The sequence below is a fragment of the Homo sapiens genome, chromosome 4 (genome assembly GCF_000001405.40).
Source record: "Homo sapiens chromosome 4, GRCh38.p14 Primary Assembly".
Taxonomy (NCBI): Eukaryota; Metazoa; Chordata; class Mammalia; order Primates; family Hominidae; genus Homo; species Homo sapiens.
Window position 1 is genome coordinate 163,142,135 of NC_000004.12, and position 18,335 is coordinate 163,160,469.

An 18,335-nucleotide genomic window follows, 5' to 3' on the forward strand; every position below is an offset into this window, starting at 1 on the left:
CCAGTAAGAACTGTGAAGGACAGAAGAGGTGCACTCAGCACCACTCTTACTGGCCTACATGACATATATTATTGTAGTCTTACTTTCACTTAAAATTGTCTTAAAAACAATTCACAAGTTTAATTCTCTCACATATACACAAACCCAATTCTTCATTTGGTCAGAGATTTAAAAATATCTTTTAAGTTTCCTGTGTATCCATTAATACAAGGTAAAATAATCATCGTTTGCAACCTGGTACACAGACTGTTTCCCAGGGATTTGTTTCCTAGATAGCATGAATCCATTTCCTAAGTGTGAAAAACAATTTCAGTGGAAAAATTCCTTGCCAACTTCAGGTCTGTGCAGTATGGTTTGAACTAAAATATAAGTGACATTCAAAATTCTTGGACAAAAGCAAAGCATAGTATTTTAGTTGACTGTTCCTAGGTTCTGAAGTGTTTATGAGCCACAACTATAATGAAATCATTATAAAGTTTTAAGTAAAACAACATCACAGGCAGTAGATAACAGGAAGCCATACAATAGACAGTATGTGGCATGAGCCAATACTAATAGGTATGTTACAGGAAAACTTGACCAAGTTCACATAAGCAATTTGGCTAATCCAGAGTAGAAAAGAGGAATTTAACAATATTTTAAATAACCATTAGCCTCTGAGTGTAGAGTTTAGATTGACTAACACCTGAGAGCTAAACTGTAAAGAGCAACTTAAGACACAGCAAGGCTCAGGCCGGCCCACTTCTCCTCATACAGCTCCATAGGAGGCACCCATATCCCTTCTTGGTCATTCCACCCAACTTAGGGGATTCTGGAACTTCCATACTACCTGATTCAAGATAAAAGCAAAGGAAGTAATAGATTGTAAGGAGAGTATAAGAAACTGAATTTGGAAAAGTAGCACCTGAGACCTTTACTATGAGGTGGGCAAGCAGCTTTCTTTATATCTTTAAAACTAGTATATATTCTGTAGGTGTTCATATAAAAATTTAATCCAACTGATGCTTTATACTTGCCCTGTCATTGAGAAGTGGTTTTCTAGGTATCCTTTCACTTGGCTCTAGGTGATAATACTCACCATTTTTTACTCAAAGTCATTATATTTTTGCTACAAGATCTCCAAGGATTCCTATCACACACAGAGGTTAACACACACTGTAACAACAACGTGGTACAGCTATAATGTAGGATCTGCTGGGAAAAATAACTGACAAGCAGAGAAGATATAGAGTGCATGCAGTTCCCCAAATTCCATCCCAGCGTAGGCTGGGCTTAAATGTTCTGTGTGCACCATGGCAAAAGTTTCAGCGGCGTAGAAGGCCTGTTTGAGCCAGCAGGCTGGAGGTGCACAGACAATACAGCAAAAGGGAGAATGAGCTGTACTCTCCTCCCCCTCTCCACACACATACCATGTCACAAACTTACTAAGTTATCTAGAGGGGGCTAGGTAACTCCCAGTTTTTCTATTATCTAGGAGGGGACTAGGTAAATCCTAGTTTCTCTAAGTAACAATAAATATATCAAGGATCTCCAGGCCTAGGAACAATGCTGGCAGGCTGTGCCTGTGAAGGGCCAAGGTCTGCATGCTGCCACCTGGGAACAGCCTTCAAACAATGTCTCTCTAGGTGAGCCAGCTTTGGGCTAAACTGCCAAAGGAGAAAGGAAATGAGGAAATGAACCTTTACAACTATTCAACATTGTCTTTTATCAATCACTTTGTGCTTTTTTCAATTCCCATCAACAAAAATGAAGAAAATACAGACGAATAGAGTATTCTAATCTATTAGTTAGGCAAACTGATCATTTCAATCACTGTGTGTATTACTGTATCATAAGTTACCTTGAAATATGTCATGAGAACTGAGGGGGTGGGGAACAACACTCCATCAATATAATACAGAGTCCTCTAGAAAATCATCACATCCTACCAAACAAGACAGTAATATAATCGTTTAAAAAGGAATCAGTAAAAATTTCCTACCCACTGATATATGAGAAGGAAACAGATTTCACTAGTTCATCAAGGGAACTAGCAATTCTTAGGATTAAAGGGCAAAGGTAGGAATAAAAATCTGAGACTGTCCTCCCTTAATCAGTGGGGAAGGCAAAGGGAGGTGGAAGGGAAATGAACCTGGGCTGTAAACTCATCCATTTCAGCTTTGTGACTTTTTAGCAAGGTTTCTCAAGTTTTAAAATAGAGGTAATTTTACTTCCTTGCAGGGTTTCAGTGAACTTAAAAAGATAACATAAATATCACTGTAGCTGATTACTATCGTGTTACTGAAGAAAAGAGGGAAAAGATGTTCGATGGCTTGCTACTGAAGGTAAAACTAATTTAGTATTTAGATAAGACATGCTAATAATCTAAAAGGTACTCAGTTTCATATTCTGGTTATTGGTTTGTTTAACAAATACTTTCTAATCTCTACTCCCACTACTATTTTGGAGAATCATTTCAAGGCACTTAGATTTATAATCAAGTATTTTTTAAAAACTTGTCACAAAGTCTTTCAAAAGCATTTATAAAGCATTCTATGTAAAATTTAGAAATAGATTTAATTTTTGCCAACAGGCTTATGCCATATAACTAAAGTTAGAGGTGTAAATGTTATATTTTATCTGACTCCTTTCAAATCTAAATGACAGCTGAATATTAATATTAGTCACATTTACAGGTCTAGAAATTCAAATGTAGTGGGAAATACAAAAAAAATGTCTGTTTAGAGGTTTTAATTTAGCAAAGTGTTGAGTATTTTCAGATTAAAATTGTCTAAGTTAGGTACTAAGAAAAAAAGACAACTGTCATGAAAATCACAAATAGCTCCTTTCTTATTTGTTTGTATTCAACTCAATACACATTTACTTGGCACAAATAATTTACAAAGAACTGTACTAGATACAATGGGGAATATCAAGGTGAATAAAACTGTCCCTATTGCCAGGAAATAAATACTTACTTAGTATTTACATTCTTGATTTTAGAATGTTTATGTCTTCTGCCAACCAGTCAGAATTGCCTAGTTGCTGAGTAAAGTGCACAGTTTTCTACATTAAGGTGGACATGCAGGGTTGTTCCATTAGAAAGATGTTAAAAGGGACCAAATCTTATAGTAATTACTTGAATGCACATATTTGTAATTCCCCAGGATGTGCCTACAGTGACAATTCATTGCTGTCAGTGAAATATTTTTCCACTTGGAAAAGATTCCACACCGAGCTTCCACCTGAGGAAGTCAAAGTCTGAAAAGTCTGAGAGCCACTATTCAAAGGAGCTCACAAAACAAAAATGCTTAAGAGCTACTATACTATGGGAAGTCTTCTTCACTCAGCTGAGTATCTGGACGGTAGGAAACGATGTGTTATGCATTACGTAGACTCACTGCCTAGCAAGTTATCTGACAAACACTAGGAAAGAATTCTATATATGTGTATTTAATAACTCATGTGGCAAAGAGTAATAATCAGTATTAAACCAATTTACAGACAGATATGAAGTACTAAAGGAAATCAAGAACGTACTGAAATTAGAGAGCTCTAGATTGTCCATCAATTAAAATAAATAAACTCTTCTGAGAACTGATGGGGAAAGTCAGAAAAAAACAATAAATAAATAGAATAATTTGTAAGATTTGAAATGTTTTACAAACCTTTCCTGCTGCTTGTCGATCACTTTTAAAAATTACAGTCTCCTCATTAACTGGAGGTAGGTTAGTCATAGATTCAATTATTACTGAAAAATAAAATAGATTACTTCAAGATTTACTTATAAGAGAATGTAGAATTTTAATGAAAATCTAAGCTTTAATTCCAACATAATTTAAAAAAAAATTGAAGGTGGGATTATTACCTCATTAACCATTTTCTCTTCAGTAAACAAAGTCTACTTATTACCAAATAGCACTGGGAAATGTTTTTATACCTATTTTTAATACAAAAAGCTATAATTCTAAGGGAAAAAAATTAAAATGCAAATCCCACAGAAAATCTGAATCATCCATTAAAGATTCAACAAATTCAAGCTATGTACATATTCTCAAGTAATTTTTACCAAAAATAGTGTAATCACGTTTAGTTGTAAAACTGTTTTAGAAGAAATTAGTCTTCTTTCTCACTCTTAAAAATTCTTTTCTACAAAGCACTGTTTAGTTACTGGTATATGAAAAAGTTAAATAAAAGGCTTCACAAAAGCATCTTCCTATGAACAGAAGAAGTAAAAGTGCTAGAGCTCACAGTAATTTTTATCATTACATGAAAATTCCCTCCTCAAAAAGCAAAAACATAATCTCCAAATCTCCAGTTCTTTTAAATGACACAAATATTAAAGAACTGATCTACCATAACAAAGAGAAAACACACGCACACACAAACACACTCTCAATAAGTTTTTAGAACATCAGAGCCACAAGTAAGAACACTGTTACATTACATAGATAATACCATGTCAACTAAGGGAATAAAATATATTACCTCAGATTATCAAAATTAATTCAAACAATTTCTTTTGTATCTCAATTAATTTTAACAGTGGATACTTCAGGCTGGGCACGGTGGCTCACGCCTGCAGCACTCTGGGAGGCTGGCGAGGAAGGACGGCTTGAGCCCAGGAGTTTGAGACCAGCCTGGGCAACGTAGCAAGACCTTGTCTCTATTAAAAATCTCTATTAAAAATCTGCAACAGTAGCATGTGCTGATTTTGACCCATTTACTCTTTATTCCCATTAGGTTGAGAATTTTTTCAGTCTATGTTAGTCAAAATAGTATTGTTAAAAATGCAAAAATGACATGCATTATTCCATGTACGTCAGAGTTTACATTTATTTTTTTGAGGATCAACATTATGACCTAAAATTTTTCTGTATACATCAAGTCTAATAAATGTTTAAATCATACCACATAATCAAGAAATTAGTTGCCTGTTTGATTTATCTATATATATTATTAAATACCATAACTCTAAAACTAGTAAATGTAATGATTCCAGAATCACGGAAAGAATTTTAATTATTATTTTTGAAAAGAAGGTTCATTTTAATCTACATTTTTATTAATAAACTGAAAAAGTACAAAATTATGTAAGTGTTAATTTTTAAAAATATCAATATAGACACTGTTAGAAAAAAGTCAAAAGAAAAAGGTCCTATTTCTACCACTGACTCACTATACAACTGGTCCTAAGAGCAACTGACTTGAATTTTTCTGTTTCCTCAGGTCCTGTGGAGGCTGGTGGGCAATCTAGGTCCTCTTCACAGTTCCAAAATCCTATTACTTTGTCAGTGCTGAGTTCTATTCTCCAGCATATCCTACTACGAGTTAATAGTACCTATATTAACAAGAATCTCACAGAACAAACTCACATGTTGGGGCTAAAGAAGTCTAAAATATTAAGTTCTCTTATAACTCAGCAACTTCATATTTCATGCCATTAATAACAGTATTAAATTACAAAACTTTCTCACATGTTTTTAAGACAAAATCAAAGGTGGTGAGCAGAATGGCTCCCCAAGAGATATCCACACTCTAAATACCTGAATCTGTAAATACATTACATTTTTAAGAGCCTTTGCAGATGTGATTAAAGTTAAGGACCACGAGATAGGGGAGATTATCCTGGATTATGCAGGTAAACTCAATCTAAAAAGTCTTTAAAAGCAGAGAACCTTTCCACATGTGGTTAGAGTGAGGTGAGATAATGGAAGAAGGCTCAGAGACAGACGTTACATTACTGGCCTTCAGGATGAAGAAAGAGAGCCAAAAGTCAAGGAATGTGGGCAGGCTCTAGAACCCAAAAAGAGCAAGGAAGTAAGATTCTCCCCTAGTACCTACAGAAAATAACTCAGCCCTGTTAACACCTTTGATTTTAAGCCCACTGAGACCCACATGAGAACTGTATGATAAAATTGTGCTGCTGTAAGTCACTAAGTTTGCAGTAATTTGGTATAGCAACATTAGAAAACTAATAAACCAAATCAAAGGAAATTCCGGAGGAAGTATGTCAGTAAAAGCAGACATTTAAATTTCTATAAATAAACTGTATTTATATATAATTTTAGTATATGAAAACTGAATTTTATCCCTTCAAACTTAATGACTATAAAATAAAGTGTTAATTACGTATGTCAAAGAAAATTTACTAGTCATAAAAGTCATTGATTCAATTATTAGTGTGTGTTTGGAAACAATTTTTATTAATAGAATTCTTAACATACCTAGTTGTTCAATAATACTTGAAACCATCCCAAGAGGCTTTAACTCAATATCTTCAGGCAGAATAATAGTGAGTTCTTCAACAGAAGGCAGTTCCTATAATTTAAAACAAAACAAAACATTAAACTTCCTCCAGCTTCAACAACTTAAAAAAAATAAATTTTCCATTTTAAGTGCTACACATCTCTGAAAATGCTTTAAGTGCTTAGAGCATCTCTTTAATGTTATCATTTTAGTGGTTGCAGACTTGTGATAGCACTTCTCTCCCTCCAACATTTCTCCACCTAAGTGACTCAACAGGTCTCAAGTATACACCCCAAATTCAGTTAGACTAAGAACACAGACATAAGTACTATTCTACATTCTTTCAGTCACACTTGAACAAGAGACTACCTACTTCCTGTAAAAAAGGCTATTATCAGGCAGAGACATTCCATTTGAAAAGAAATAATTCTACTAGTAACTATAATTTCTCCACATAAGTTCTTTTAGCTGTCTTGTTAAATTGGTTAGTTAATTAGTTTGACTGTGATTAAACAGAACACAGAAGCAGCAATCTTTTCTGCGACTGTGTCAAGAAGAGTTGAATGGCCTCTTCAGGAAAAAGGAAATGACACCTATCAGTGAAACATTGAAGTCCTGAAAAAAGAATATAGGCTTTAGCCTATAAAAACTATGAAGGTGTTGCCTGATACCTTCTCTCTCTAGGTTAAAAAATAAGTTTCTTTACACCTAAAGATTTCTCTTTTCTTACCCACCTGCAAACTGCATCTCAGTTGCTATGGAAACTAGATATTGAAGTACAGATGAATCTGAAGAGAAATCTAAGAATAAATCTGACCTTAGCCTTTAGATTAAAAACACAGCTTTCTGTTCTTGACCCTTGCCAAATGATCTAACTCTCAGAAGGAAGCTTTTCCTCAAGATGGCTTGAAGTGCAAAGACCCTACCAATGGCATTTTAGCAGTTAAACTGGGAGAAGGATAACTTTTGGAGAAATGTTGGAAAAGGTGGGAAAACCTACATAACATGAAGTATACTGCAGACGAATGCATCCTGAGTAATCATATTACCCCTACGGAAACTTAAACTAGGTTCTTAAAATCATTCAACCAGAGTTGATAAGCAGACATCTAAAATACACTTTGTTTCTGGGATATGCTATTTTCTGATACAGGATTACTTATGGAGAGCAACACTACGGGTCTCAACCAACTGATGCAGAAGGAAGTCAGCAACATGCCTTTGTATGGTTAGTCTGCCTGGTGTTAGAGGAAATTATTTTGTTTTATCCATCAGAATTCTTATGAGTACTTTCAAAGAGAGAATAACCACTTGCCCTTTCATCATATTAAACGTGGAAAGCCTTATCTTGGGAAGACCATGGTTTGAAAATGGTTCATGTGTGTATCAGAATGCAGAAGGGAGTTTAGTTGTTAGAACAAACTGTGACATTAAATAGCCTTTTTACAGAAGTTCTTAGCTAAAGCAATCTCAAACCTTGTTAAATACAAGACTGGATAACTATAATTTTGGGGGACTGCAGAGAAGAGGGCTTTAATGATATTTCAGAGGGCAATTGTGAGGGGAGTTTCACATTGACTCGGGTTCTGGGAGTGGCTCCTCTTGTTAAGTGGCAAATGTCATTTGCTAATCCAGAAGTACAGTGATAAAATCTGTCCCATTACCTAGCCAAATTATAAGATCTAAAACAAAAATTTGAGTACTTTTGGATTGGGATAAAGCCTACTGGTTAAATATTCTCAAATAAACAAGTGCTATTTAACCAGCAGGAAAGGCCCCTGGTTTTGTATTTTCTATTATGAGAAATAAAGGCCCATGTAATATAATAGTTATGCTTTGATATAAATCTAAACTGATACTGTTTTGCTTTTGTTGTTTGTTTAAAGTAAAAAAGTAAAACATGTTCCTATTTTTACAAAAGGAAAAATTCAAGCAGTTATGGAAGGATACAAAGTAAAAAGTGAAAATTCCCCTACTTTATTCCTTTCAACCACCCAGTGCCAAGCCCCATAGACAGCTAATGTTAACATGTATCTTTCAAATACCTTTACTATGCAGATATAAACTTTAATTCTAACTTCAAAATATTTTTTACTTAAATAAAATATCCATATTTTAATACAAGGTACCCTTTTTACTGATCATACCCTGCATATCTTTCTATAACAAACAAAAACATATATCTAATTTTACTTAAACACTTAGGATATTCCACTTTTATCAGTGGTACTATAATACACGAGCTGCCTGACACAACATATATCCTTAAACACTTAGGATATTCCACTTTTATCAGTGGTACTATAATACACTAGCTGCCTGACACAACATATATCTGCCCTTTCAAAACTTTTGCCACTACACACAATGATACAACATTCTTTTACATATATCTTTGTGTAACCCCTGTGATAAATTATTTTAAGTGGTCCTGATAGACTAAAACACATGCATATTTAAAATTTTGACAGTTACTGCTAAATTTCTTCTTAAAAAGTCACGTCAATTCACATTTCCACAATGTATGAGAGATTTCCCCACAACCTTGCCATTACTGATAAGTAAATTTTAAATCTTTGCCAGTCTTATGAATATAAAATAGTATCTTGCTTTAATTTGAATTTCTTCATTCATAAAGAAGAGTGAACATCCTTGCATGTATCCTGGCCATTTTTATGTGTGTTATGAATTGTTTCTTGTATAACTTTACATATTTTTTAAGGGCTTATCTTTTATTAATTTATAAAAAAAAAACCTTTGGATTTTCAAGGACATTTGTCTTTTATCAAATATGTAGCAAATATCCACTCCCTTACCCCACAGCATGTTTTTTAGCTAAAGAAACTAAACAATTTCAGTCATTTAGTTAACCTTTAGCATTTTAATTTTTATGTAGTCAAGTATATATACATATTTGGCTTTTGAAACTTGTGTCACATTTAGAAAGGTCCTCCCTATCCCAAAATCACTGAAAATTCACTATTGTTTTCTTTATTTCTCTAGTTTTTTTTTTTTAATATTTGTGTATTTGGTCCATTCACAATTTTATTCTTGTATAAAAGTGCAGCAGTGATTGGCTTTATCTTTATCCAAACTACTAGCCAGTTATCCTGACATGCTGTAGAATAATCCATCTTTTCTCTCACTGATTTGAAAAACAAACTTTAACATATACTAAGTACACTTATATATTTGGGTTTTTTACTGAATCTCCATTCAATTTCACTGATCTAGTTCAGTGTCAGTACTAAACTATTTTAACAACTGTGGTTTTCATAAAACATTTCAATATTTGAGATGACGGGCTAGTTCCTTTACCCAATCCATAAATATTTTTCCCCTTGGAATTTTTTTTAACTGTTCTCACATATTTATCTCACTACACTTCAGAACTATTTTGTCATATTAGTGTTATCAGTATTGATTGAGATCACATTTAATTACAGTTGTCTTCATAAAGGGTCCTATACAAATGCTTAGGCTTATTCCAAGCTATTTTATATATTACTTGCTATTATAAATTCCTATCTAATATATTTTATTGCTATTACAAATAGACCCTTTATAGGGTATTGCTTGAACATAAGAAAGCATCATGCTGAAATTTACTTTTAGTAATTTTCTTGTATATTTATTATACAACCATATTTTCAAAGAGTAAGTTGTCCTTCTTTTCAATATTAGTACATGGCTTTCATTTTTCAGATGATACTGGTTGACAATTCCAAATTCCAGAATCTCAAATATGAAACAATTGTGATGACAGTGGACATTGCTAATAGGAATGTTCCAAATCCTAAGCATAATGATGCATTTTTATCGGAATTTCTTTTTAATGGGTTAAGAAAGTATCCATCTATTCCAATTTTAATAAAATTTTTAAAATCAGAAATAAGTGTTGAGTTTCATCAAATATTCTTTTATCATTTTGAGATCATTATAACGTAATTTCCTGTAAGTTGAGCAGTTCAGTCTACAAGGTCTGATGAAGTCCTGATGTTCTGCTCTAAAGAGTACTAGGAGACATCCAGTATGACCAAGATAAGGGAAAATATATAAAGCCAGATTATTTGTAGTGAGTCAGGGTCTCACAATTTTGGTCAAAAACAGTGTCTGGCAGGCCCTCTTAGTTCCTGTTGCTGTTCCATGTTTCCAACCTATGTACTGGAAGAATGAAAAGTTTTGCCCACAAAGGTGAAGGTTCTCTGATTTTGCGTAGAACCAAACTTTGGGGAAAACAGACATAGACACTGTTATCTGAAATCACCACCATATTTCCAATACCAGTTCAGTGATCCTACTGAGAGGTGACAGCGTGCTGGCAGTCCTCACAGCCCTGGCTCACTCTCCGCGCCTCCTCTGCCTATGCTCCCACTTTGGCGGCACTTGAGGAGCCCTTCAGCCCACCGCTGCACTGTGGGAGCCCCTTTCTGGGCAGGCCAAGGCCAGAGCCGGCTCCCTCAGCTTGCAGAGAGGTGTGGAGGGAGAGGCGCGAGCGGGAACCGGGGCTGCGCGCGGCGCTTGCGGGCCAGCTGGAGTTCCGGGTGGGCATGGGCTTGGAGGGCCCCGCACTCAGAGCAGCCGGCCAGCCCTGCTGGCCCCCAGCAGTGAGGGGCTTAGCACCCGGGCCAGCAGCTGAGGAGGGTGAACTGGGTCCCCCAGCAGTGCCAGCCCAGCAGCACTGCGCTCGATTTCTCGCCGAGCCTTAGCTGCCTTCCTGCGGGGCAGGGCTCGGGACCTGCAGCCCGCCATGCCTGAGCCTTCCCCCGCCTCCGTGGGTTCCTGTGCAGCCCGAGCCTCCCGGACGAATACCACCCCCTGCTCCACGGCGCCGAGTCCCATCGACCACCCAAGGGCTGAGGAGTACGAGCGCATGGCGTGGGACTGGCAGGCAGCTCCACCTGCAGCCCCGGTGCAGTGCGGGATCCACTGGGTGAAGCCAGCTGGGCTCCTGAGTCTGGTGGGGATGTGGAGAGTCTCTATATCTAGCTCTGGGATTGTAAACACGCCAATCAGCACCCTGTGTTTAGCTCAAGGTTTGTAAGTGCACCAATCGACACTCTGTATCTAGCTGCTCTGGTGGGGCCTTGGAGAACCTTTATGTCTAGCTCAGGGATTGTAAATACACCAATCGGCACTCTGTATCTAGCTCAAGGTTTGTAAACACACCAATCAGCACCCTGTGTTTAGCTCAAGGTTTGTGAATGCACCAATCGACACTCTGTATCTAGCTGCTCTGGTGGGGCCTTGGAGAACTGGTGTGTCAAAACTCTGTATCTAACTAATCTGATGGGGACATGGAGAACCTTTGTATCTAGCTCAGGGATTGTAAACCCACCAATCAGCGCCCTGACAAAACAGGCCACTCGGCTCTACCAATCAGCAGGATGTGGGTGGGGCCAGATAAGAGAATAAAAGCAGGCTGCCCCAGCCAGCATTGGCAACCCGCTCGGGTCCCCTTCCACACCGTGGAAGCTTTGTTCTTTCGCTCTTTGCAATAAATCTTGCTACTGCTCACTCTTTGGGTCCACACTGCTTTTATGAGCCATAACACTCACCGCGAAGATCTGCAGCTTCACTCCTGAAGCCAGCGAGACCACGAGCCCACTGGGAGGAACAAACAACTCCAGACATGCCGCCTTAAGAGCTGTAACACTCACCGCGAAGGTCTGCAGCTTCACTCCTGAGCCAGCAAGACCACGAACCCACCAGAAGGAAGAAACTCCGAACACATCTGAACATCAGAAGGAACAAACTCCAGACGCACCACCTTAAGAGCTGTAACACTCACCGCGAAGGTCTGCGGCTTCATTCTTGAAGTCAGTGAGACCAAGAACCTACCAATTCCGGACACACTAGTACTCTGTAATATAGGAACGTACAGTTTCCTGTGCATTCCTAAAAAAGGCCAGTGATGGCATTAAGTTGCCTCTTGATAGTAACAACTCTACCTATAAAAGTGATGCACATGAAGTCTCGCCCCAAATACTCCACAAAACATAAAAGGTATATAAAAACTAAATAGTATATACAAAATATGTAAGAGGTAAGTGAAACCATCCTTGTATAATTCCAGGTTAAGATCCTGTTATAGAGTCTGCCTTTGAAAGTACAGTTAAATGAAGCAGTATATATTAATTTTGAAAAAGGCACATATGTGGAGGTCTGAATTAAGGGAAAACAGATCTATTTGTTTCTTTTAAATGAGCATGCTAAGAGAGGAGGACAGGCCAGGAATGGTGGCTCATGCCTGTAATCCCAGCACTTTGGGAGGCCAAGGCAGGCGGATCCTGAGGTCAGGAGTCTGAGACCAGCCTGGCCAACATGATGAAATCCCATCTCTACTAAAAATACAAAAATTAGCCAGGCATGGTGGCAGGCACCTGTAATCCCAGCTACTCAGGAGGCTGAGGCAGGAGAATCACTTGAACCTGGGAGATGGAGGTTGCAGTGAGCAGAGATCGCACCATTGCACTCCAGCCTGGGCGACAGAGCAAAAGACTCCATCTCAGAAAACAAAACAAAAACAAAAAAAAAAAAACAGAGCGAGAGAGGAGAACAAAGAGGAAAAATAACTCAAACGCCAACAGGAAGGCACCCAAGAGATGTGCTTTCCATGAAAATTTTTGGCAGGTTCAGAGAGAACTTTAGAAGGTTCAAAGGGGATAGATCTCTGAAAGGTACAAAAAGCGATTTCCTTTGGCAGCCATGTCAGACAAGGTAATATAAGATTTTTGTTTTGATGTATGAATGCCAAATGTCACCATCTCTTTTTCAACTAGCAAATTTAATCTACTGTATCACTACCAAGCCTAGTCATTCTTTATCAAACTATCCTGCTGCTTTGCTTTTTTCTAAACACATTGTTGTCCAATATTTCTGTATTTACTTAATGTCTATTTCTCTAACTACACAATAAATCCAACCATAACTAAGACCTTTTTAGTCCCAATCATAACGAGGACCCAGTCTTGCTCATTGCTATAGCACCCAAAAAGATGGCTAGCACATAGTAGGTATTTAGTATTAATATATATCTATTAGATGAACTAACCTACCTCTTCAGTCCAAGCTTAGCAAAAATCTCAAAAGTCAGTCTTTGTCTGAGCAGAAATCAGATAATGAAAATATAACCCGATATAGAATCCTCAAAGAATGAAAAAGACTTGAACCTAATCTTCTCAAAAATAAAATTTAAAAGCCAGGCTTCCAAGGAAGCTTAACTGCCTAGGATTGATGCATAGGTACCTCTGGGTTGCAGTAGCAAACATTATTACAATTATTAGATTAACACTTGGCTCCCTGAAAACACACCTGCTGCCCCTCCTAAGATAATGAATAAATCTCCTCAGATATAAAATCTCCTTTAAGGAAATAAAAATCAATCACTTTGCTTTTCCACGTTTCAGGGAAGGGTGTATATGTGTGACAGAGAAGAGAAACACAGACACACTCCAATAAAGGGGAAAATACGGCCAGAAAACATACTGTGGGACATTACCACTCTGGCAGTGCACAGAAGATACAAAGAATTAGATGTAAAAGGCATACTAATAAACTAAAAAAATTGAAGGTAGAGGTGATAGGAAAGGCCTGGGATAGAAAGACCTTCTTCATCACACATAAGCAACAACCAAGGGTACTAAAAATAAAAGACAAGGTGATTTAGTGCAGATTAGAAAGATTAAAGTATCTGCCTGGATACCAACAACCCCTGTTAAAAGAATGATGAGTAGATAGGAAAGACTTTTTGTTTTATTTACTCAATATTAGATACAAATTTAAATTTAATTAAAATTAAATAAAATTTAAAATTTGGTCTCAGAAAACATACTGTGGGACATTACCACTCTGGCAGTGCACAGAAGATACAAAGAATTAGATGTAAAAGGCATACTAATAAACTAAAAAAATTGAAGGTAGAGGTGATAGGAAAGGCCTGGGATAGAAAGACCTTCTTCATCACACATAAGCAACAACCAAGGGTACTAAAAATAAAAGACAAGGTGATTTAGTGCAGATTAGAAAGATTAAAGTATCTGCCTGGATACCAACAACCCCTGTTAAAAGAATGATGAGTAGATAGGAAAGACTTTTTGTTTTGTTTACTCAATATTAGATACAAATTTAAATTTAATTAAAATTAAATAAAATTTAAAATTTGGTCTTCAGTCACACTGGCCACATTTCAAGTAAGACAGCACAATATGGACATCCCCAACACTGTAGAAAGCTCTATTACACAGCACTGCTTTACATTCTCACACATCAAAAAAGCCCTCCATTACAAAACATATTCCCAGGCATTAACAATATCAATTTATTTCTGGCCATTAACACAGGTATAATTTTAAGACCACATTTTAACAGCATGCACCATATTACTAATGAAGTCTTAATGCTAACCTGAATACTCTACTTGGAAATGGAGATTTGTGATAAATCTATATTTTAATTTCATTGTTTCCCAAAATTAAAATGCAACTAAAAGCCTGTTCTGGATGTACATTATCTGCCATTAGAAATAACTATTTTATCATACAAATGAAATTTTTGTAAATGTTTACTAACAAAAAATCAAAGAACAGCAAAAAGTTTTTCTGGACTCATTTATTCAATACTTCTACACATAACAAAGAGTAGGAAAGGAAAGGAAGAAAACTATTTCATTCACATCATTAGCAAATGAAAAGCTTGCATGGAAATAAACATCCCCAAACACCACAGCATTTCGCAAATGAACTACTAAAATTCAACATACTAAAGAAGCTCCACCATTTATTTCCCACACACTACACAGTTCCAAGTCAAAAGCTTTATTGAGAGGCAATATAATCCAAGCAAATACAATTTTAAAAAGCTTACATTAGATGATACATTCATCCTTCACTTTGAGAAAATATGCTACATGATTATTCAGAAACCAAATAATGAGAAAGTCCAAACGACCAGATTCCAACGTTGCTATGCAGGTCTCCACAAATACTAAAAACACAGCAGTTTGGAATGTATCTATTACCAGTTCAGATCTGCTCCTCCCCACTAATATGACTTCAGACAAGTCTCTTTCTTTCTGGTTTCATTTTTCTTACCTACGAATAGTAAGGAAACTGAGCACAAGTTCTAAACAGTTACACAAATGGCTAACGACAATTTAAATGTCCAACTGCATGTAATCAAAAAGACAACACATTAATACAGAAATTATATACTAGATCCCAATAAAAAAATTACTGTGCTTCTGTGATAACAGATACTCGTAACGATGGCATTAAAGAAATGCAAGATCCTAACCACACTTCTGGAATATCCATGAAAGAGCAATTATTGTCTGTTTTGTAAGATTATTATATTTTAATTTTCTAACATCTGTATGGTCTACAAGGTTATTCAGTTAAGCAAAATATTCAAAAGAGTACCACATAACATTAAAAATCCATCCTATTAAAAATGAGGTTATAGACATACCAGTCAAAAAATGGGTGCCTAAAACTTTCAATGCAAAAATGGAAGAAGCTAATATGTCAAAAGTGGCCCTCTGAAAAGGTAACATTTATAATTTACAACACTGTTGACTTTTCAAGCATTTGTGAAGGCTTATTGAGCAAAAAAGAGTATCAGTAAATTGATGACTTTCTAAAGTAAAATTATATAAAGAACTTTCAGTAGGATTTTCACTCACAAATATGGAAAAAGGACAACAGAGGTTGGTGGGAGAAGGAATCAAACATTCCAAATGAAAACTAAACCTTTTTGGTGTCAGTTTGGGGAGAATTGAGAAAAGTGAGGAAGGTGGGATGAAATTATCTAACCACTTTTCTCATATTACCCAACACAGGACATGCACGTGGCAGCCAATTACCTGATGCTATTAGGTGAGCCTTCACTTTTCAGATATGGTTGGAAAGTAGGATCCAATCCCTGGAGTACTGAGAGCCATGACTGAATTTTTTTTTTCTCTATAGCTGGTAAAACATATTGGAAAAAGAATGGATTAGGTCTGTACACTTTGTGTCAACTATGACCATACTTAACATGTATTCTAATTCATTAACTTCTTCAGGGGAAGTAATTTTACAAGTTTCCATGAAACTCAGCTATTTATCACCAGTAAGCATTAGTCCCCTCATTAATTACCCTATTGTGTATGACACTAAACTTAAGACTCAGACAAGTCAATTAAAAAATGAGGGTCAACATTTCTTTGAAGTGTCTTGATATTTTTCTTTTTTAAATGAATACATTATTATCCTGTTTTTCTCTAAAATTACTGTTAAGAGAAACAAAGTTCATAATACTTTCAAAATTTAATTTGCTTAAATATAAAACTATAGTCCATCTCAATAAGAAACCTCCAACAATGAATATAACTTTAAGCCTATCTTTCATGTTAATTGAGTGCATATTTCATCAACTTTAAGACACTGATTTTATATCACTAAGATAAAAAGACTGCCAAATAATTGTAAAATGCCACAGAGTATTAGCCTAAATTTTTCAGAAATCCTTATTACCTCCCCTTCCACTCAATCCTATCACTTCTTATGTGCAGTACACCATTCATCTGACATTCAACCATTAACTCTCTGGTGCTACTTTGCTTTCAGCTAAAGTGTATATGCTCATTCTCTAGTTCCATTGCTCTTTAACAGATATTTGTCTTTATCTTCTAAAGCAATCAGCAGAATTCACTTATTAGAAACTACTGAGGAATGGGGGAATCTAAACAATTGAATGTTTCTGTGTAATAATAATTATATATGTATATACACAGGACATAAATGGATACTCTACTGAATAAAACAGTATTTATTTCATGTTTATGAAATCATTCATGCCTCATGTAAGCTTTATTGAAATATTCTGTAAGATATAAAACTTTAATTTAAAAAACCCTGAGTATTAATTATTTTTGAAGAACACTAGTGAATATTAATGAAAAATGATCTTAAGTATACAAACCATTGCTTAAATAACAAGCACTTTGGGAAGAATGTTAATAAGTGCTATCAAAGTGTATTCTAAAATAGAATTTAATAGTTCCAAATATACATATAGTAATAAAAACCTAAGTTAAAAGAGGCCTGCATTCAGGACAAAATTTATAAACCAACTTATGCCTAGAAAACAATATATTCAATTGATAATTACTAAGTGTAGACCAAGATGCAATACAATTTCATATATGATGGGAGATCAAACAGGCATGAAATATTCTACTGCAACTTCCAACCACTTGAGTGGTCCAGATATTTCCATACATTCACGTTAGGACATTTTAGAATGTGTCCACACTGCCACAATCAGGAGAATAGAGTGTACTCAACCTAACTACCAAACGTACTTATTTTATAAAATAAGCAGTCACCAAAGTATGACAGCTAAATTTCCCCCAAAATTGCCAATAAGCATTAATTTTTTTCTTGGTCATGCTACATTATATGCCTAAAGACACATTATTATCCCTACTGAAGTATTATCCATTTCTTATCTCCATAAACATTGTGCTAATAATTTTTAAATGTTATGTGAAGCCTTTCAGGTTTTCAGAAAACAATGGGCACTAATTTATAAAACTCATTTCTGATTAAGACTTTAAAAATTATAATCCCAAATATTTTTATGACCCTACATTTTTAATTACACTTGATACATTTGAATGAAGAGTTCAGAGCATCAACTGCTGATAAAATTGTTTAAAAAGAATCTCAATTTTCCAATTCATCAAAACACTAAATACATCCTATGTGGCTCAACGTAGTTCCAAAGCTGTAATATGTATGCTGCTTACAGTGACTGTGTAGGTTATATATAAACCTTCTGAGCATTAAAAAAGAATTTATGTTTAAAAGAATAATTTTATCTAGTTAAACTTATTAATTGTGACATTATGAAGAGAGCCACTTAAGACTCTCCTTTTTCATTGCCACTATAGCTCGCTAATTCCTCTTTTATTCTCTTCCCCCTTAACGTACCCTCACATTAAAAAACAAAAACAAAAACAAAAACAAAAAACTGGGTTATAACCACATCTTGGGATGGCAAGATTTGGTTATAACCTAATTTTAAAAATTATATCTTTCTAAGGTTTAAGAACAATCATAAAG

The 18,335-nt window shown here is 35.7% G+C and overlaps 1 protein-coding gene across 9 annotated transcripts in view, besides 1 other annotated feature; it reads right to left on the reverse strand.

The window, feature by feature from the left end:
• The window catches only part of NAF1 (nuclear assembly factor 1 ribonucleoprotein), a 62,962-nt gene that overhangs the window by 38,206 nt on the left and 6,421 nt on the right, over positions 1 to 18,335 (reverse strand). For 8 of the 9 annotated variants that reach the window (XR_938799.4, XR_938798.4, XR_001741350.3 and 5 more), the window contains exons 3-4: positions 6,207 to 6,300; positions 3,648 to 3,730 (exon numbers count right to left, since the gene is read on the reverse strand). Coding sequence is in view for 5 of the 9 variants with exons in the window: in XM_011532410.4 (XP_011530712.1) it covers positions 3,648 to 3,730; positions 6,207 to 6,300 (177 nt within the window). In the remaining 4 variants the exon portion in view is untranslated. Of the gene's footprint in view, positions 1 to 3,647; positions 3,731 to 6,206; positions 6,301 to 16,090; positions 16,194 to 18,335 lie in introns of those variants that run through there. The other variant, XM_047416408.1, reaches the window with a different exon arrangement.
• Positions 43 to 337: a silencer, noted in NCBI's record as "tiled region #7208; HepG2 Repressive non-DNase unmatched - State 16:ElonW". NCBI's record gives its function as "represses a minimal TATA promoter and a strong SV40 promoter by Sharpr-MPRA in HepG2 cells {active_cell/tissue: HepG2}" and the evidence as "EXISTENCE:reporter gene assay evidence [ECO:0000049][PMID:27701403]".